The 21,271-nt window shown below is 42.9% G+C and overlaps 1 protein-coding gene across 10 annotated transcripts in view, besides 1 other annotated feature; it reads left to right on the top strand.

The window, feature by feature from the left end:
* Positions 1-21,271, top strand: part of ELMO1 (engulfment and cell motility 1) — a 596,421-nt gene that overhangs the window by 49,516 nt on the left and 525,634 nt on the right. The window contains exon 2 of one of the 10 annotated variants that reach the window (XM_005249919.4): positions 5,894-5,989. The exons of the other annotated variants lie outside the window; for them this stretch is intronic. The gene's annotated coding sequence lies outside the window, so the exon portion shown is untranslated. The remainder of the gene's footprint in view (positions 1-5,893; positions 5,990-21,271) is intronic. 10 annotated transcript variants of the gene reach the window in all.
* Positions 7,193-7,302: an enhancer, noted in NCBI's record as "active region_25858". NCBI's record gives its function as "activates an Ori minimal core promoter by ATAC-STARR-seq in GM12878 lymphoblastoid cells {active_cell/tissue: GM12878}" and the evidence as "EXISTENCE:reporter gene assay evidence [ECO:0000049][PMID:35858748]".

Below are 21,271 nucleotides of genomic sequence, written 5' to 3'. Positions count from 1 at the left end.
CAAGTCACGGGAAATTGAGGATTGAAATTATACAGGAAATGGTCCCTTGAAGATCATGTAATCTCCCCTAAAGATATAGCAGTAATGATGCTGCAGATGACTTTAGGTGGTGGAACTTCTGGCCTCTTTACCAAAACAGAGTCACTCAGCGTATTCTGAATACTGGAGGCCGATGTCATGCATTATCCAAAAGCATGTTGCATGTTGAATGTTCTACCCGAAGAATAAGATGAAAGGTTCTGATTTGCCTCCTTCTCCATGTACTTGACAGCAGCTAGTGGGCAAGTGCTTGGCTTCCCCACCCTGCGTGTGCTGGGCTCGTGTTGGGCTGAGGTAGAGGAATAACATGTGCCTGGTGCAAGGTGGCTATGCCCAGGGCTTCCTGAGAGTGGGTTTATGCCCTGGCCCTGGTAGAATGCAAAATTGGTGGTCCCTTCAGCAAGAACTCACTGGCAGAAAATCCTTACACAAAACCTAAAACTTAAATTGATCTGCAACAAAATTGCCCAGGAACCCACTGCCTCCACTCCAGTCCCGGGAGAGATTTGCTCCCATCTCTGTCTCCCTTCTGCACGAGTTTGTTGAATGAAGGACGTGGTCCCAGCCCTCATGGGCATTTCCTGGCAGAGCCTGGGCAGGCTATGACATCACAGCAGGGGGCAGATCAAGGAGGAGCCAGAACCTGGAACCCCTGTACCTCTGGATCCAGGTGGCTCCTGGATGGGAAGGCAGAGACTCAGCAGGAGAGTGAGGATCGCCGTTCACCCAAGAGGCAGGATGTGGAATCTGACCAGAGGGCTCAGTGACAGGTGCCAGGAAGGCATTGGCTCGTTGGGCTGGTACAGGTACATAAAAGTACATATGGGATACTGCTCCATGCCGCACTAAGCTGTAATAATGCTCATGGAGCTGGGTTTGGCCTGCAGGAACAGGGTGCCTTGAAAGAAGCCTTCCTGTGCTTCTTGGGGGCGAAGGAGGGCCCCACATTGTAGATGCAGACCTGGCTCATGAGTCCAGCAGGGGACTGAGTCTAGCAGAAGGGTCAAAGTGCTGCCCCAGCTGAAGTTATCCTTCTCTCCATTTTCCGAGAGGAATTAATGGGTGTTGGTGCAGCAGAAAACTTAGGATGAGACGATAGCAGCAGTACACGTGAGCAGGGGGTGTCCTCCCATCCCGCATTCTTTCTTGTGATTTCCCTAGGGAAGGAAACTTCAGCCCGTTAGTTTCCTTGCATAGAAAGGTTGACTTTTGTTTCAAGTGTCCAGGAATCTAACATCAGGAAGTAAATACAATCCTGGAAACAAAGCAGAAAGATAAACAAGGTTAGTGAATCCATCGCTTTCTGGTTCCTCCCTGAGTTGCCTTGTCTTTTTTCTTGAATGGAGCAGTGAAGAGGGCTTCAAAAGAAAGACAATGCAGTGATTAATTGAATGTTTACATTTCCATGAATATATAGATTGGGTTTTTGTTTGAAGGAAACTTTGATGTTTTTGAAGATAGGAAGGGAAAATAAAAGTTAGTACATCTTTACTAGCATGTTATGTGTCAGGGAGGCTCTGTGCTAGAGCTCTGTGAGCTCTTTTAATTCTCACAACAGTCATAATGAAATGTGTATTATTGGCCATCCTTTTTAAAATTTAAATTTAAATGTTAAATTCTGGGATACATGTGCAGGTGTGCACGTTTGTTATATAGGTAAACGTGTGCCATGGTGGTTTGCTGCACCTATCAACCCATCACCTAGGTATTGAGCCCAGCATGCAGTAGCTATTTTTCCTAATGCTCTCCTTCCCCATATCCCACCTGCTGACAGGTATGTTGTTGTGTGTGTTTTTCTTCTCCCTGTGTCCATGTGTTCTCATTGTTCAGCTCCCACTTATAAGTGAGAATATGCAGTATTTGGTTTTCTGTTCCTGTGTTAGTTTGCTGAGGATAATGGCTTCCAGCTCCATCCATGTTCCTGCAAAGGACATAATCTCATTCCTTCTTACGGCTGCATAGTATTCCATGGTGTATATGTACTACATTTTCTTTATCCAGTCGATCGTTGATGGGCATTTGGGTTGGTTCCATGTCTTTGCTATTGTGAAGAGTGCTGCAGTGAACATATGCATGCATGTATTTTTGTAATAGAATGATTTATATTCCTTTGGGTATATACCCAGTAATGGGGTTGCTGGGTCAAATGGTATTTCTGGTTCTAGATCTTTGAGGAATCGTATTGTCCATCTTGATGAGGAAACTGAGGTGCACAGAGGTGATGCTGCCCAAAGGGAAATCACAGACAAATAGATCTGAGGGGTCCAGCTGCATCTTCACAGGCATGCTGTCCATAACGCCTTTTGTGCATGGATGCTGCCCAATGGGGCTGTCTTACAGATGCCTTTTATGACCCATACCTTTACCCTATGTATTCCTCATAGAGTTGGTCCAAAGATGGGCTTGAGCCTTCTATCAATTTTCTGTCAAACCTTTGAGAACTAAATATTTCTCTTTTGAGCATGAGATATTTTAAGTGTTGTTATTCAAAAGAGAAGAAAGGGAAATGACAAATAAAATTAACAAAGTCTAATTTGAGAGGTCATGAAAAAAGTATTTTTAAGTTTTTTGTGGGTCTTATGTTGTTCCTTGCTTTGATATATAAGTAAATTAAATAAGGTTCAGTTGACTATATATTTTGCAGACATTCTAACCTGTTCATTACAGTTTACGACTGTGGCTGTCTATATTCCAGCCAGTTTATTTCTTTCTGAGAAAAATTCCTATCTTCAGTCTACCTCAGTCTCTCTTTGGGTTCAGCTATCAGGTAGACAGGTAGTCCTTTATAACATAATATAGTCATATTTAATGTTCTTTTTCTTAGTGCAAGCACTTGATGCTACCAATTGTCCTCTTATTACTCCTTTGCCAATGTCCTATGGAATTTCATGTATAGTAATTTCAGAATCACTAATTTCTGGCTAACACTTATTGAACTCCTGTGATGCAGTGTAAAGGAAAAATATATGCATCTAACACTTGGAAATAGGCAAATAGGCAAAAGTATAACTGCATGTCCCTTCAATGTCATAGTGAATTATTGTCCCCACTCAAGATTATCCAATTCTCTAGGGGTAGGTGCCTTTCTCTGCTATTCTTTAATTTACTGTTTGCTGTTGGTTGGGATATTTTACAATCTATAAGGGTAAATGAATACCTATAGAAAATGGACAGTGATGCAAAGGATTCCTGTGTGATAGCAGTGTGAATGATTCTTGTCCATTAGAAAAGATAGCCCCCAAATTGCCATTTTAATGCCCTATAAAGCATTACCTAGGTTTTTTATCTACTTCAGCAATCTTATTTTATCATTCTTTTCTTTCAGGGACTATATTAATGGCTCTGACATGCATTATACATTTTTTTTGCCTTTTTTGTTTTGTTTTGTAGAGACGGAGTCTCGCTATGTTGCCCAGGGGTCTTGAACTCCTGGACTCAAGCAATCCTCCCATCTTGGCCTCCCAGAGTAGTGGGATTACAGGTGTCAGCCACTGTGCCAGGCTGCTTTATGCAATTTAATCTTCATATAAATCCTCTTAGGTGAGCTTATCATTATGTCTACTGTGCTTAGGAAGAAAGGAGGCTCAAAGGTGTTCAAGTGGCCTGATACAAGATGGATGGCTAGTAATTTAGAACCACCAAGAGAGCAAAGGTTTATCTGAATCAAGGTCCACTGTTGATTACACTTTGTGATGTTACCATGAAAACCCACATTATTCTCACCAAGGAGTGCAATGATGAAGTGCAGCTGAGGATGACTCAATAAGGTGCACAAAAGAATGTAGATTAATAAAAGGAAGAAATAAGTAAAGGCGAAAAAGCTGAGACTGCCTACAAAAAACTATGACACTATTGCATTTTTTCTCACTGTTAATCAAAAATAAAGTGTACAAAATGTCTGTGCACTTGTTTTTATTCCTTGTAGCACTACACAGTTTTACTTGGAAAGTCCCTATCTCCTACCTCAGCCCTGAATGTTTGCTTACAGTGAGTATATAGAGAAGTGGTTTAAAATAAGAAGTAACAGAGGTGCTTGCTTTACATTAACAAAGCAAAACAAACAAGATGTTGAGAGAGAAGAAGAGCCATAATTGCTTCTAGACTCTAACCAAACCCTGGGTTTTCATCTTCCATCATGTAAATGTACAGTTCCTAAGTTCAGCTTTTTATTACTGCAGGGTGTTTTCACTTTTTCTCAAGGATCTCATCAAGTTCTGAAAACAAAATTGGTTATAACTTACTTTCCTTAAAAGTAAATATATCAAGTGTGTCCCATGAAATTAAGTCAATGATGGGCTGCCCCAATTCTAGAATTACTGGAAATGATTAGGGAAGCATACATACATGGTAGGTGGCATTGAGAGAGGCAGGATGAACAACTCTTTTTTTTTTTTTTTTTTTTTTGAGATGGAGTTTCACTCTTGTTGCCCAGGCTGTAGTGCAATGGTGTGTTCTCGGCTCATTGCAACCTCCGCCTCCCGGGTTCAAGCAATTCTCCTGCCTCACCCTCCTGAGTAGCCGGGATTACAGGCATGCACTACTACGCCCAGCTAATTTTGTATTATTTTAGTAGAGACGGGGTTTCTCCATGTTGGTCAGGCTGGTCTCAAACTCCCGACCTCAGGTGATCTGCCTGCCTCGGCCTCCCATAGTGCTGGGATTACAGGCATGAGCCACCGCACCCAGCCTGGGATGAGCAACTCTTAAAACACAGCTCTCTCTCTCTCTTTCTAGTACTGCAAAACTACTCCCAGCTATGCTTATGATAATTACTGCAGGAGGTAACACTGGGAACTAAAATGTAATTAAAATACTCAGCCTTCCATGATATTCATCCATGACTGCAAACTTTGACCTTGAAACATTCCGGTAATCAGGATAAATGAAAATTTGCTGGGGTCTCAAGTTTAAGATATTGGGAAATTGTTCTCGTGTCTGGAGGTGCTGAGTTACCAACACCTGCTCTTCTCATCTACATCCTGATCAAAGCCACCCCCACTGCCATGCACTTAACCCAGAAGCCCCCCAGGCCCTCCTGATAACTCTCAGCCCTTCACTTCTCACATTGATGCAAAATTCTGCAGATCTGGTGTTTCTGTGGAATCTGGTCTCTGTTTCCTCCACACTGTTCCTGCCCTAGATGAACCCTCATCAGCCTCTCTGCTCTGGAAGACACTTCCATTGTCTCCTCATGTATATGCTTATGCCCCTTGCTTCCCTTCTGTTCCCCAATTATTCTCCTTCTGCAGATGGGTTCCTTAGGTTGTTGTAAGAATGTCTTCATGATCTTGGCACTTGGCTTCCAACCCTTCAGAGATTCCTGTTTCTTATCAGCCCAGGTGTAGGCTCTTGCTGACCGTCTGAGGCCTGTCTGATCCAGCTCCTGTCTCCTCGTTCTCTAGTCTCCTCCCACCTGTCACTCAACTTAGCTCACAGTCTGACTGAGGTCTTATTTACAGCTTCTTTCAGGTTTCTGAACATGCCAGACTATGTTGAGCTGCTCCTTGGTGCTGGACTGCTTCCCCCTCCACCTGGTCAAGCATCTCCTTCTCACTGCTGTCCTGTAGCTTTCTAGTAAGAGTATTCTGTGAGAGACCATTCTCTCCTTTGGGGCAGGGTATTGTCCAACATTATATTAGTGTCCCTGGGCCTAACAGGGAGAGGCTCCCCATAAATATAAGTGGCATGAATGAATGAATGAATGAGTAAAAAGGGGGTTATTTCTTGCATCAAAAAGTTAAGGCAGCTTACCTCTACTTAGCTATGGAAAAATTGTGTGAGTAGGACTTAAAGTATTCTGCTATTTGTCCACAAACCATATCATCTCTCCTTTCCACCTATTTATCCCATCTAGGGGGCAGAGCAGGGAGCACTTATACCATACAAGGCAGAGAAGATACAGATCAAGATATGCCCAAGGCCCTTCTAGTTCAGCCTCTCCTTGGAGTAGGTAGGCCAATCTTTATGGGCTTGTGGGGATCTGAGCATAAAAAAGCAAGCTGAGGAACAAATGAACAGTGATTTTGGTTTTTGGATAAACCAAAACCAGGCACCGCTTGATAGCAGGCAAGGGAAAGGCTGCAGCTTCACTTTTCTGTGATATTTCCACCAAAAATGCATAACCTGAATCTAATCAGTAGCAGCAGCACCAGACAAACCCAAATTGAGGAACAAAATAACCAGTCTATAGTCTTCAAAAGGGTCAAGGGCAGAGGAAAACTGAGGGAAGCACTTTAGAATGAAGAGACTGAAGAGACACAACAGCTTAAAGCAATGTGTGATTCTGAATTGGATTTTTTTTAAATAATGTACTATAAAGTACTATTATTGGGACATTTGGTGAAATAATTTACTATAAAGTACATTATCGGGACATTTGGTGAAATTTGAACGAGGTCACAAGGGCAAATAGAATGTGTATTAAATGTTAATTTTCTGATTTGAATGCTTGTGTGGTGGTTATATAGGAGAATGCCATTGTTTGTTGGCAATCTTCACTAAGGTATTAGTGGGTGGTGAGCCACTGGGTTGGCAAGTTACTCTCAAGTTGTTCAGGAAGAATGAAATTTATTTATATTATATCTGCAATTTCTTGTGAATTGGAGATTGCTTCAAAATAAAAATTTTTAAGAAAGAATAAAAATTAATGAACAAGCTTAGACTTTTCCTCATGGACAAGTTGCCCAGGAGAGATGTTTTGTATTATGTCCTGATGGAAATGTGTGCAGAAGTGGTCTTGGTAGACCTTGGAATGAGTTGGGGGTGGGGAGGTGGTGAAGCCAAGGGGCACAACCAAGAGAAAACCTGCATCCTTTCTCAGCAACCCTCAGGAGGTGGCCTTAAGTGCAAACAGGCTCAGAAGACAGCAGGCTCCAGGGGAGCACAGTTACCTCCCAGGGCAGATGCAATTAGCAGGTTTTTAGTGACTGGGGAGCCAGAGGCCAATTTGATGATTTACTGTAGGAAATATCATCAAGACCACTGGTACTCAGACTAGCAGATTTCCTCCCTGTAGGCAGACGTCAAGGGAAGGAGTTGTAATCAGGAGAGCATTTGGTAAACATAGAATCACAGTGAGAAGAGCTAGCCAGTGTGATCAGAAAGTCCAGAGGCCTCCAGAGTCAGGACAGCCCCATCTCTCCATTCTATAGGGAGGCCTCACACCTGGCAGCAGATGTGGAAGAGAGAGGCTAGAGTGGGGCTGCCCTCCCTTGTATAGAGCTGGGGTAGCCTAGCAGCGCCAATTTGCTCAGATTTCATGGTTGGCCACCTCTGCTTCTGACTGACGTGCTCATGCTTTAGATATGCGAATGGCCTCAGCTAGGTTGTCACCAAGTTCTGCCAACTGCAAAGCCCCATGGACTCTCGAATGGCTTTGCAGATCTGGGATCTTGTGTTCCTTCTTTCTGGGTTGGTTTTATACGTTAACTGTCAGAGGCATATGCCACTTTATTCAGGTTCCTTAGAGCTTCTCCTTGCTACCCTGTACTGCCTCAGAGACCACTGGCCATGTGGGAACTTGAGTTAGAGATATGCTGACCTCTAGAGTAGCAACTTCCCTCTTTCTGTTTTGTTTTGTTTCGAAGTCTGGAGCCACATCAGAGGAAGGAAAGACTTTAAAAAAAAAAGTTTACCATCCTGGAATATTTTATTATCTCTAGAGTTCTTTAACTTCCCCGGGTTGCAGACTTCCTTTCGAAATTTAGCCAGAATATCTATATTTCTCATTTGAGAACAGTGTGTCTCCCTGCTGGAAACTCAAGTTCTTCAATTTCTGGGTGCAAAGTCCACGCAGGGCCATTGCATGTGTGTGGAGATTACAGTTCTCTTTCTACAACTGAATGCTTTCTTAGGGGGGTACACACACTTCCCTACAGGCTTTGCTGCTCTTTCTTGCACAGATGGCCACTTCTCCTGTAGGCCTTCTGGGTACTTAGCCCTGGAACCTGTGGTCCCAAATCGTTCCTTGTATAAAAGCCAGCTCTTCCCTGGTGAGTGTTACATGGGGGCTTGCCCAAATCTTGAAGCTCTTGAGTAGCAGAGGCTGTTTCTGAAGAGGTTCCTGAAATCAGGAATGTGGCATGCAAGTCGGCCCCCAACTGGGGTCTCTGGATGGCTCAGTGGCTAGAGACCCACCATGAAGGTGTGGGTCCTTCCATGAGTAACGAAGGCCGTGTGCACCTCCTGGTATAAACTCTGTTTTCTTCAAAGAATTTTTAGAGAGGAAGTACATATATAGACTGGCTTACACTGGTCGAACATAAGAGTCCTCAACTTAGTGTAATTTTATATTTTATATTTTGTCATAATATTATAAGGCCTTGCACACAAATGCCTTTATAAATAACTACTTCTGGGCTGGGTGCGGTGGCTCATGCCTGTAATGCCAGCACTTCGGGGGGCCGGGGTGGCAGATCACTTGAGGTCAGGAGTTCGAGACCAGCCTGGGCAACATGGTGAAACCCCATCTCTACTAAAAATACAAAAATTAGCCGGACATGTTGGTGGGCACCTGTAATTCCAGCTACTCAGGAGGCTGAGGCAGGAGAATCATTTGAGCCCGGGAGGTGGAGGTTGCAGTGAGCTGAGATCGAGCCACCACGCTCCAGCCTGGACAATAGAGCAAGACTCTGTCTCAAAAATACAAAAGAAAGAAAGAAGTAAAGAAAGAGCGGTGGGGGGAAAGAGGGAGGGAGAGAGGGAGGGAGGGAGGAAGGAAGGAAGGAAGGAAGGAAGGAAGGAAGGAAGGAAGGAAGGAAGGAAGGGACTACTTTCCCAGAATATACCTGATTTGGGCTTGATGTGAACATTGAACCACTTCCCTCTATCACATATTCAGTTGGGGATGGGAAACAGTGTCTACAGGGTCACCAGGTCAATTTGGTGTCCTGCCCCAGCCACCTGTGTGCCCTGGCAGTTGTCTATAACCAGATTGTCCTCTCATCTAAAAGTGCAAACTCCTGATAAGCTCATGGCCCTCAACACCTGGTGGATAGAAGCAATAGCATGGGGGCTGGGGGGTGGTAAGCACCTATAAGTCTCAAAGAGCGGAGCCTTGGTTTCCATTTGCAAACAAACCCATAAGCCCTATATGAACTCTGACATTAGTCTTTGATATCTGTTTGATTTTTTTACTGGGTCAGGGACTGTGATGAGTCCTAACCTAGGGGACCATGAAAAGGATTAGAAATAGAATTACTGGAAACACATGCTATTCAAAACAGGTAGGGCCTGAGTCTGCTTAGGAACCTGTAGCTTTTGCTTTTTTTCTGTCCCTGGGCCTCTGTGCGTCTGGGAGTCAGAAGAAAAAAAAAAGGCAGAGTGTAATAAGAAATGTGCTCCTTGGGGCACCCTACTGACCTGTGTCTTTGTCAGTCAGATTTCCTACTTGATGGGAGGAGTTCTGCCACCCTCCACTCTGCGAGACCTTCCCTTGCACAGTGAGTGCGGGCTTCATGTGAAACCGTTCATACTCCATGCAAGTGGCGCAAGCCTGACAGCTGTGAAGAAATGCTTCTTGGGTTCCTGCTCAGTTAAGGGGCTGACTTTATGCTCATAGCGACAGCTGCAAAATACAGATTTAGGGTGGAGGCACCAGGTCTAAATTCCAGTTACCGTTTGTGTTTTTAAAAAGTCTGCATTTTTACGTCCATGGTGCAGTTTTACAACTTGCTGCTGTGATAGCCTATACACAGACATTTCTTGTTCTTTTGATTTTTAACCAAATGATTTCTGGAACCAGAGCATGGGTGACTTCTCAGGGGATGAAAGCGCTAGAGAATCTGAATTTCAAGAGGTGGGATAGGGAAGGCTATGAGATTTTGGAAGTTGGGCAACATGGGAGAGACTGTGGGAAGCGTGCCTTTCTGCTTACGGTGATTAATTTTTGTTTCAAAGAGCAGCTCTCCCTAATGAGGGTTGCACATGCTGGAGAATTAGTAAGAATCTCGGGGGATGCCCGTGCTTCATTCTTTACGCATACCCCTAGGTAGAGGTGGAAGTATTTGGTTCCCCTACACTCCTGACAGCCTATTTCCTATGGTTAAAGGAGAACTGGATTTCCCAGCAAAAGCTGAATATCAGGGTCTGGAGAGTCCTGTGTCTCCCTACTACCTGTGACCAAGCTATTATTCCTGCCTCTTCATGCTCCACAGTGTGGCAGGATGGAAGGTTTGTCTTCTACCTGGACGATTCGAGACTCTCGCTTGCCTGAGGTGTTTTAGCAGTGGACTGAAGTGTACACATTTCAGGTGACAACTTCATTGCTTCCGCTAGAGGAAATAGACATACTGGTCTACATGTGCATCAACACAATGGAGGGAAAAACACTCAACTTTTTAAAATAGACTTTTAAAAACATTACCAAGACTGCTTAACAAAAAATCCTTTTGAACTTGGAAAGTCCTTTCTTCCATACATAAAGGAAAGGTTTTATGTGGCTGTTTTGCTTAATGTGGGCTGGTTTTATTTTGGACTCTTTGAAACCCAGCGTGAAGGCTAAAATTCTGCTCTGTGGAAAAGTCAAAATGAAAGGAATTGCCGGGTTTGGGTTGTGCTGAATTAAAGTGACAAGGTACAGATAACAGGGCACAGCCATGCCCACAAATTAGCCCTCTCTAATTTGCTGCTGTGGAAAGTAGTGCTTTGGTGTTGCATTGTTATTTCTTTCCTTGAATTAAAGTTTAAAAAAGAAAGCCTAGTTTGCTCAAAGGAGGAAACCGGAAAAATGTAAGCACTTCAGTATTGAAATAGCCCATGGTTCCCATGTTCAGGGAATTGTCTGAGGAAGTTCTGCTTCAAAAACATGGAAATTATGTGGTTTTATTTTTAGAAGCCTCACTTCTAAAATGTGTATTGGATTATTTTGTGTGCTACTTAAAGCTATCCCTCCCAAAGCTCTTGTTGACATGCAGAACGTCTTTTGTGTGGGTCAGGTGACGGCGGTATTTTTATTTTAAAAACTTTTTTAGAGACAGGGTCTCTCTCTATTGCCCAGGCTGGAGGGAAATGGCACAATCATAGTTCACTGTAACCTCTATCTCCTGGGCTCAAGAGATCTCCTCCTACCTCAGCCTCCCAAAGCACTGGGAGTATAGGCATGAGCCATGCCCAGCTGGTGGCAGTCTTTTGTGTGTTTTTTTTTTTTTTGCACATGATGTGCCCTGGCATCATGGAGTGACTGCAGCATCTTTCTCCAAGATGGTATGGGGATCCAGAAAGACATTTGGTTTTCCCAGCCAGTGTGCCCTGCTCCAAATTATAATACTCCTTTTTCCCAATTACAACTTCCCAGAAAGCTGAAATGTCATTCTTTGAAATGTGGTGGTACATGATTATAATATTACCAAAAAAAAAAATTAGTTACATAAATTGTGTAATAAATGTCAGGATTACTTATTACAACACTGTACAAAAAAATGCAGTATTTTGGTCTTGGTAAGTCTTGTTTTGTTCTTAGTATTTGTGTATGTTAACTCAAGGGGAGACCTGTTGTCTCTGTATCGAGTTGTCTGCTCCTCTGGTGGTGGGCACTTTCACACTCATAGGAGGCTTTCATTCATCTGTCTGGATAATAATGGCTAATTTCACACTCTGACTTTTAAGGCATTGTTTCTCAAAGTGTATTCCACAGATTGTTACTAGATGGTGATGTTTAAAGGGTTCCTTGCACTTTGGGAGGCTGAGGCTGGAGGATTGCTTGGGGCCAGGAGTTAGAGACCAGCTTGGGCAGGCAACATAGGGAGATCCCATCTCTACAAAAAAAATGTAAAAATTGGCCAGGCGTGGTGGCATGTACCTGTAGTCCCAGCTACTTGGGAGGCTGAGGCGGGAGGAACTATTGAGCCCAGGGGGTCAAGGCTGCAGTGTGCTGTGATTGTGCCACTGCACTTCAGCCTGGGTAACAGAGTAAGGGCCTGTCTCAAAGTAAAATAAAGGGTCCCATGGTTGAATAAATTTGAGAGACACTAGGATAAATAAAGCAAACAGATTGATTTCCTGAAGGATTTTTCTGAGCCTTTTCTATACAAAAGTACATCATGACTTTTCAGGACAGCGAGTGGAACAGACATCTGGTTTCCCACAGGAGTAAGTTCCTAAGTGCCTGCTAGGGAAACACTGCCTCAAAGTTTGGCTCTATATGCCTGTCTGGAGTGAATTGTGTCCCCTACAAAAATGGTATATTCGAGTACTAACCCCCCAGGCCCTTAGAATGTTTCCTTGTTTGGAAATAGGATGGTTTTAGATGCAATTAGCTAAGATGAGATCATACTGGAGTAGGGTCGGCCCCTAATCCAATATGACTGGTCCTTATAAAAAGGGGACATTTAGAGATAGAAGCACACACAAGAAGAACACAGCATGAAGATTGGAGTGTTGCTGCTATAAGCCAAGGAACTACCAGAAGCTAGGAGGGAGGCCTGAAACAGACGCTTCCCTAGTGCTTTCAGAGGGAGCAGGGCTCTGTTGACATCTTGGCCTTGTAACTTCTAGCCTCCACGACTGTGAGACAGTTAGTGATGCTTTGTTAAGGCAGCACTCGGAACTAATCCATTGGCACTCTTGGGTTGAGTTTAGTACCTCAGACTTCTTTTCAGGATAGGCCAGGGCCATATCCTTTGTGCTAGAAGCTGCATACTCAAGTGCATCTCTGGTTCTTTCTTTTCTGTGGGTTTATTCTTTATGCTATTTGTGATGTTTTCACTGGGGCCTGCCCTTACTTCCCATTGACCTGGAACAGAGGTTTCTTACTCTTGCTATATATTAGAGTCATCTGGGGAGCAGGAACAAAACAAAACAAAACTACTGCCTGGGCCTTGCTCCAGGCCAATTAATTGAGACTCTCTGGGAGTGAAGATCAAATATTTTATTAAAAACTCTGAGTCAATTACAATGTGCATGCAAGGCTAATAACCACTGAAGGAAGCAGACACCAGGCCGTGTGCAGGGAAGGGCTTGGGGAGGAGGCTCCAACCAAAATTCGGCAGGGGATGGGAGGATCTTTGTTGAAACCGAGAACTCTCGGGCTGCACGCCTGACTGACATGAGTTTGGACCCTGGATCTCTACTTACCCGACCTGACTGTGGACCCTGGATCTCTACTTACCTGACACGAGTGTGGACCCTGAATCTTTACTTACCTGAACTGAGTGTGGACCCTGGATCTCTACTAAACCTGACCTGAGTGTGGACCCTGGATCTCTACTTACCTTACCAGGACCAGGTGCAGGTAGTTTAGCTGCTCTCTCCTGTGGCGTCCTGATTTAACACTTAGGGACAATAACGACTCCCTAGGAAGGCTGTCGTGAGGGTCTGTGGGAGGCTCTGTACAAGGGCAGTGAGTCCAGGGCTGTAAGGACTATGGGGAGACAGACTGGAGACCTGGGCTCCCCCCTCCAGCCCCTGCCCCCTTTTCTCTGTGGTCTCCCTAGGCAGGAATCATCTATCTCTGTCACCTTCTGCCCATTTTCCAAACCTAGTCCTTGATTCCTCCCTCCAGCCCTCCCTCCCCAGCTACCTGCTCAAAACAATTGCAACATCCGATAGGCTTCCAAATCCAAGGCGACTTTCTGGCTGCACACCGTTTCTTCACAAAGAAAACACATTTGTTGAGGAAGTATGCTAATTCCTCAAGGAACCAGCTCCAGGGCTGGGCATGAAATCACTGTGGCTTGCACCACTGTGGGTTGCAGGCACTTCCTTAAAGGTGAAGTCATTCTGGGTAAAAGGCAGGCAACTAACACAGCATCTGAAAGACAGCCCTGGAGCTCTCCGGTTGAGGAGGGGCCTAGATCTTGGTAAAATTTCTGGCTCCTGCCTGGATCACAGTCAGCTGTGGAGCACGTAACACTAGGACTTCCTGGGGAATTGGCATCTCCGGAAGCTGGGCCTGGCACTGGTAGTTTCCCATGTTCTCCAGGTGGTTCCTCAAAAGCTCTAGGGGCGGTTCTGCCTCTGTGAAGGCAGATTGGCCGCCCCTTCGTATTTTGTGTGTGTGCATGCATTTTGCCATGTGGGAAGCTAGCGCTCGCTCAGCTGTTCACTCAACAAATGCTTATTAGGTGTCAATATCTACCAGACCCTCTCCTAGACACGGGATACAGTGGGAAACCAAATACTCATGCTTGCATGAAGCTTCTTTTCTATTCAGGGATCCAGAAAATAAACAAGTAAACAAATGTCTGAGATGATTTCAGACCCTGAGAAGTGCCATCAAGAAAATAAAACAGGGGAGTGGAGTGGGAAGGACAGAGAGCACCATTTTAGATAGGAGCCAAATCACTCTTCTCTAAGGAGGTGACATTTGAATGGAAACCGGAGTGAAGAAAGGGAGTGAGCCACAGGGCAGTTCGGGAAATGTTGTGGGCAGCTGAACAGCCCTGTGCTTGGCCTGCTGGGGAATAGCAGGGCCAGTGTGGCTGGAGGGGAGGGGGAGATGGAATGAGGAACAGAAAAGGGGCCAGAGGCCAGACCATAGAGGCAGATGGACCATAGCTGGGGCTTCGAATGCTTTTCTAAACGTGATAGGGTGCCTTCGAAGGTTTTGAGTAGGGCAGCCACATGACCTGACTTAGGTCTCAAATGGATCATTCTAGAGCATCAACTACTGTGGGCAAGAGTAGAGTCAGAGAGATCAGCTAGAGGTGGACTTTTCGGCACTGTCCAGGGAGCAGCTAGGAGAGGTTTATGCATATGTGGCAGGTAAAATATTACAGCGAGGCTTTAAAGTAATTCCTAGACAGTGTTTACGATTCTTAGAACTTCAAAGCAAAGTATGGAATATATACTTTTTGCATATTGTCAAATAATTCTGCATCTTTTCAAATGTGATATTTACAGTGTTACCTGAACATGGTCACAAGCTCAAACGAATTCGTGTGCATTTTTACTCATGTCTTTTTTTGTGTGTACAACCGTTGCTAGTTTTATTGCAGATTAGAGTGAAAGAAGTAATTTGTTGAGGTCAGATTTCTGAGGCAACCTCTCAAGTAGATCTAGAACTTACTGTTTTCTTGACAAATAAACAAACTGGAAAGTTCTTTTTTTTTTTTTTGAGACGGAGTCTTGCTCTTTCGCCCAGGCCGGACTGCAGTGGCTCTATCTCGGCTCACTGCAAGCTCCGCCTCCCGGGTTCACGCCACTCTCCTGCCTCAGTCTCCCGAGTGGCTGGGACTACAGGCGCCCACCACCGCGCCCGGCTAATTTTTTGTATTTTTAGTAGAGACGGGGTTTCACCTTGTTAGCCAGGATGGTCTTGATCTCCTGACCTCGTGATCCGCCCACCTCGGCCTCCCAAAGTGCTGGGATTACAGGCGTGAGCCACTGCGCCTGGCCTGACAAATAAACAAACTGGAAACTTCTAATTTTTCTTCAATCTAATTATTTTGCTCATTCCTGTTTATAAATGTTGTGCCTTTTCTAATGGTTTGCACTTTTTATTGCATCTATAACACCTCATTAATCTTGTTTGAGTCCAGGTAATTACATGTGCATAGTATCATCTTAATCGTGTCATTTGTTTTCAGTCTGTGTTACTAAAAGAGGTAATAATCTGTATTATCAAAATAGGTATGACTAAAATAGAATTCAATAGACTCTCTAAGCAACATATTCTATACCATAAGTAAAATATAGAAGCCATCAAAACCTGTATGTTTCGGCCGGGCACAGTGGCTCACGCCTGTAATCCCAGCATTCTGGGAGGCCGAGGTGGGTGGATCACGAGGTCAGGAGATCGAGACCATCCTGGCTAACACGGTGAAACCCCGTCTCTACTAAAAATACAAAAAATTAGCCGGGCGCGGTGGCGGGCGCTTGTAGTCCCAGCTACTCAGGAGGCTGAGGCAGGAGAATGGCATGAACCGGGGATGCGGAGCTTGCAGTGAGCCGAGATCGCGCCACTGCACTCCAGCCTGGGCAACAGAGCCAAACTCCATCTCAAACAACAACAACAACAACAACAAAAAGCCCTGTATATTTCAAACTTTACCTAAAACGTGTATCCTTTTAAATGTTGCCTAAAATAATCTATGATTAGACTCTTTTCCCGTAACATAGTTACGACATTAAAAGGAAATGTGCTAGAAATATTATACCCAATAATAGAAGGAATAATTAAATGGGCAGAACTTAAAGATGAATCCCCAAATAAAATTTCCAAAAATGTAACAAAATATGTAAGCAGTAGACACTTATATAAGTGTGCTCATTTATGAAATGTTTTGAAATTTTTGTCTCAAATGCCGTGTAACATAAATGACAAGTAAAATTTCATTAACTCACCAGGAAGATAACAATTTTAACCAAGTGGTCAAAGTTAACGTCTCTGTTAATGGGACAAACCAACTATATATGCCCTCTGATATAGCATCACTCCCGTGATAGGTCTGCCAAAAATGCATAACCTGACTCTCACTGTGAGGCGAGATGTTAGATAAACTTTTGTGATTTTTTCTGTACTCTTAAAAAATGTCAGCGTCATGAAAGGCAAAGAAAGAATGAAGAACTATCCCAAACTAAAGGAGATTAAAGACACAGAAAAACTCAATGCCCTAAGCAATCTTGGATTGGCTTTTAGTCCAGGGAAGCAAATTCATTTTTCTTTTATAATAAAGGACATTATTGGGATAATTAGTGAAATTTAAAGAGGGCCTGTAGATTATATAATAGTGTGTATCAATGTTAATTTCCTGATTTTGATTATTGTGCTGTGATTATCTAAAAGAATGTTCTTGTTCTTTAGAAATATACATTGAAGTATGGAGGGGAAAAGTGGCATCACATCTGCAACTTACTCATAATACAGTTGAAGGGGAAGGAGAACTATTCTGTTGTCTCTACCCTCCTAGGTTCTGGGCCTGGGGCCCTGCAAATTAGATTGACAAAAGACAGATTAACAAGAGATAGCAAACAGAAGTTTATTAGTACATGCAGCATGCATACACCTGGGAGAAACTCAGTGATGAGTATCTCTGTGGAGTGGTTAGAACTTGGGCTTATCTAGTATCTTAACAAAGAAAAATAAATTTGCAGAGAAGTGATAAGACAAAGGAAAAGGGTTTTAGGCTTCCCAGGGTGGCAGACTGTGGGAAAGTAAATACGTGGGGAATACTAATGGCAGATAAGGGTTAATTTAGTAAGGTTTGTTTGTGCAGGTCCATCCTGATGCAGTCTCATCTCAGGTGATAAGGTTGTTATCCCCTTCCTGGTATGGGATGGTGGGGACACCTTTACAAGAATTTATCTTCTGCTTTCAGGCAGATAGTGAGAGGGCCAAGAGCATGTCCTGTTTCTGCTTTTAAAAAAATTACCTTCAGCTCAAAATAATTCTTACGCCAAAGTGGCGTATTTTTGAATGGCATACTCTGAACCCCTTCACAGTTCAGAAAAAAATAATACAAGAAAAAGCGAGATAAAGTTACTGTGATAAAATGTTACTATTTGGGAAATACGGGTGAAGGGTATACTTTACATTCATCTTGGAATATTTATGTATGTCTGAAATTATTTTGAATGATTGACTCTAAACTGGGCTTAGGAGAAAACATTTTATTTTCTCCAAAATTGCAGAACACCCTCTATCCTAGTGGTTTCTAAGTAGTAGGAAGGAAACTTTTCTTTTTTAAAGGTAAGGCAAGTGTTTCTGAGATTGCCTTAAATGTATATAAAATAGCTAAAATATTTCAAAATTATCTTTTATCCAGAGAGTCTTGACATACCAGAAGAGTGAGTTAGAATGAAATGGACCAGTAGGAAGTATTTTTCTAATGTATAGATTGCTGAATTCTTAAAGAAAACTACTATATAATTTTTTTTCTTTTTCTTTTTGGCTCCTTAGGAGTCAACTTGAAAGTATATAATTTAAAATATTTTATTCCCATTGTTCATAAACTTGCAGAGGGATCCTAACCTTTGTTATTGAATGTGTTTTAGAAGAGGAAATGAAATTTTACTAAGAAGTGAGAAATTCACCATAGAAAGGATTTTTGGAATGGTGGGAGTGGTCAATCCTGGAACCCTGTTGAAGACTCTCTCCATCCCTATGGACTGGGAAGAGGTGTGGACACTGGATTTCTCATGTTCTAGAGATAAATTTCCCTCGACATTGGTTTGTGGATGGTTCAAGCTTTAACTCTGAAAATTTTTATTTTTCCATAAGTTTACATTTATGTTAATCTTATGGTCTACATTCCATCATGAAACCACCCATTGTTATTGTAAGTACTCTGGGATTGCCTTGTGAATTGTCACTTAAGAGGTAGTAGCCAGTTCCCAGTGGTTTCACTCTTCATTAGTGCAGGGTTGTATATTACTGACTACTTTCGTACAGAATTAAGTCCACTTCATGAAGTTCTGCTTCTCAAACTCTGCCTTTGGTACTGGAACTTTAGTAAACCAGTAATCTAGGGGGTTTAAATAATTATGGTCACCCAGATTAGAGAAATGGTACTCTGAGAAAGGTTGGTTCTTTTCTTAGTAATAGTTGTCTTATGAATGACACGGACTGTGAAGTTGGACATTATCTGGGATCAGTTCTCACTCTACAGCAGCTGGGTAATCTTAGACAAGCTATCTGTGCTATTGGCAGATTCTGTATTTGAGAATCCAGTTACTTGCTAGTATCTATTTGTAACCCCCAAATCAGTGCTTAAGGCACTTTTGTGGTCATTTGTGGATGAGCAGAGCAATGAAAAATTTGAGTTGCCTGACGGGCATGTTTCTAGCCCTGTCTTCTTGTTTCATGTCTCATACTGTAAACAAGTACTCTTTTTGTGGTCTATTTAATGCCACGTTTTTCACATTTTTGTGCTTTCTGTTGGTGATTTAGCTTTTTAAAATGGCCCTAAGAGTGGTACTGGCGTGCTATCTAATGTTCCTAAGCACAAGAAGGCTGTATGTGCCTTATGGAGGAAATATGAGTGTTAGATGAGCTTCGTTCAGGCATGAGTTACAGTGCTGTTGTCCATGGGTTCAAAGTTAATAACTCAATAAAATGTATCAAAGAAAGTGTCTTTAAATAGAAACACACATAAAATAAAGTTGCACATTGATATGTTGACAACGATGTTGTGACATTACTCTCAGAGGGACCTAACTCTGTATTTTCCTTCAGGAGCGATCATTTAGTGTTGGCAAATTCAGTGTTTGTGGTGACTTTATAGAACACAACTACTTCTGATAGTGAGAATGCATTGTATTCAGTCTTTCTGACTATCAGCTTCGGAAAGTAACATTGAGACATTATCAGTCATTATGCCAGGGCAACACATGTAAACAAAGGCTATGTCAAGCAAACTGGGTCATATGGTCATCCTATCCCAGGTAAAATGGATATTAAAATACCTCCTTTCAGTAGCATTCAGCAAATAATTGTCCATCCCCTATGTAGCCAGGTACTATACTGGGAAATGGGTGTCAGTGATAAACAAAACCAACATGTGCTCTTTCTGCATGGTGTGTATAGTGTATTGGAATAGGAAGACACAAAATGAATAAGCATACAAATTATCATATTGTCTGTCATTCAAAAAGCCACCAGGATGGCTAAATAGTAGAAAGGAGAGCTTTATTAGTAATATGGGTTTGCAAGCCAGGAAGAGGAAGTCTGTACATGGACTGAAGGTACTCTATCTTGGAAGAGGGGAAGGACAGCTTGGATTTTATGCCTCACAGAATTCATACTACACAAGAGTCACGCATATTCAGCAGGTTTGGGGGAAATCCTGTGCATATTCATGAGAGGATCCAAGTGCATGCACAATGGGTAAACATATATGCAACATACATCCCACATTCACTTTGGGGCATAGTTTTAGAATTAAAACGAGGTGGAAAAGGCTCTTTACATCCAAAGGTGAACTATAGGACACAAAGACAGTTTGTGTGCATCCTCTATAAGCTGCTGAAACTGGCCTAAGGTCTGCAGTACCTTATCCAAAAAGAATGTTTGTGAGGCCCGTCCTCTGTCCAATCAGAGTTGCGGTGGCCTGGGTTGTAAATCAGATTTAGGAGAAGTCTGATATCTCCTATTGTTTAGAAGTTTAGAGCCACAGGAATTTGGAAGTTTGCCATGCCAGCTGGGTCCTGACACCTCAATACATAAAAATCTTTCTTTTCTTAACCTTAGAGTCCATCTTAATTGATAAAGGGGTATCTGTTTTGATCTCTCAGATCACAAGTTATAAATTATGACCAGTTCTATGAAGAAAAACAATAAGCTTTTATTGACAAGAAGAAGTATAGAATTGGGAAGGTGGAATGGTGAGGCATGGGAGGCCTCTTTGAGAAGATGAAATTTAAAGCAAGATCAGTAGATGAGCTTCATTTTACCAGGAGAAGAGCTTCCCAGGTGGAGAATGAGGTAGTCTAGAGCCTGACCCCTTCAAGGAAGATCTTAGTGGCTGAAAAGTAATGAAGAAGAAGAATGTGATGAGGCCGGGCGCGGTGGCTCACACCTGTTAATCCCAGCACTTTGGGAGGCCGAGGTGGGTGGATCACGAGGTCAGGAGATCGAGACCATCCTGGCTAACATGGTGAAACCCCGTCTCTACTGAAAATACAAAAAAATTAGCCAGGAGTGGTGGTAGGCGCCTGTAGTCCCAGCTACTTGGGAGGCGGAGGCAAGAGAATGGCATGAACCCGGGAGGCGGAGCTTGCAGTGAGCTGAGGTCACGCCACTGCACTCCAGCCTGGGCGACAGAGCTAGACTCCGTCTAAAAAAAAAAAAGAAGAAGAATGTGATGCAAGATAAAGTCCTGTTAAGAATTCTAGGAGCAATGGGGATCCACTGAAGGATTCTGAGCAGGGAAGTAATAAGATATTTTACAGTTCTCTGGAGTGTATGGAATTGGAAGTGGAAGGAAGAGCAAGTGAATGCAAAGGACCAGTTACGAGGCTACTGCAGGAGTCCAAGCAAAAGTGATGGTGGCAGTAGCGGTGAAAGGAGAAGATAGGTTTGGAAGAGATACTCACAAGGTCGGATCTGTTAGTTTTGAATATGAATGTTTAAGATAAAAAAAAAAGATCAGGAATGATTTTCAAATTGTTTGAACAGAGGTACCATTTTCTGAAAGGGGAAATGTTGAAGGAGAAGTAGATCTTGGGGCACAGAGTCAAGAATATAGCAAATTAAAGTTCATTTACATAGAAGACCATCTGTAAATATTAGTTTTTTTTTTCGTTTATACCACGGCAGTAGGAATTTTTAAAATGACATTTGTTCCTTTTATCTCCC

This window comes from Homo sapiens, chromosome 7 (genome assembly GCF_000001405.40).
Source record: "Homo sapiens chromosome 7, GRCh38.p14 Primary Assembly".
Classification (NCBI taxonomy): Eukaryota; Metazoa; Chordata; class Mammalia; order Primates; family Hominidae; genus Homo; species Homo sapiens.
This window is presented reverse-complemented; position numbering and strand designations above follow the sequence as displayed.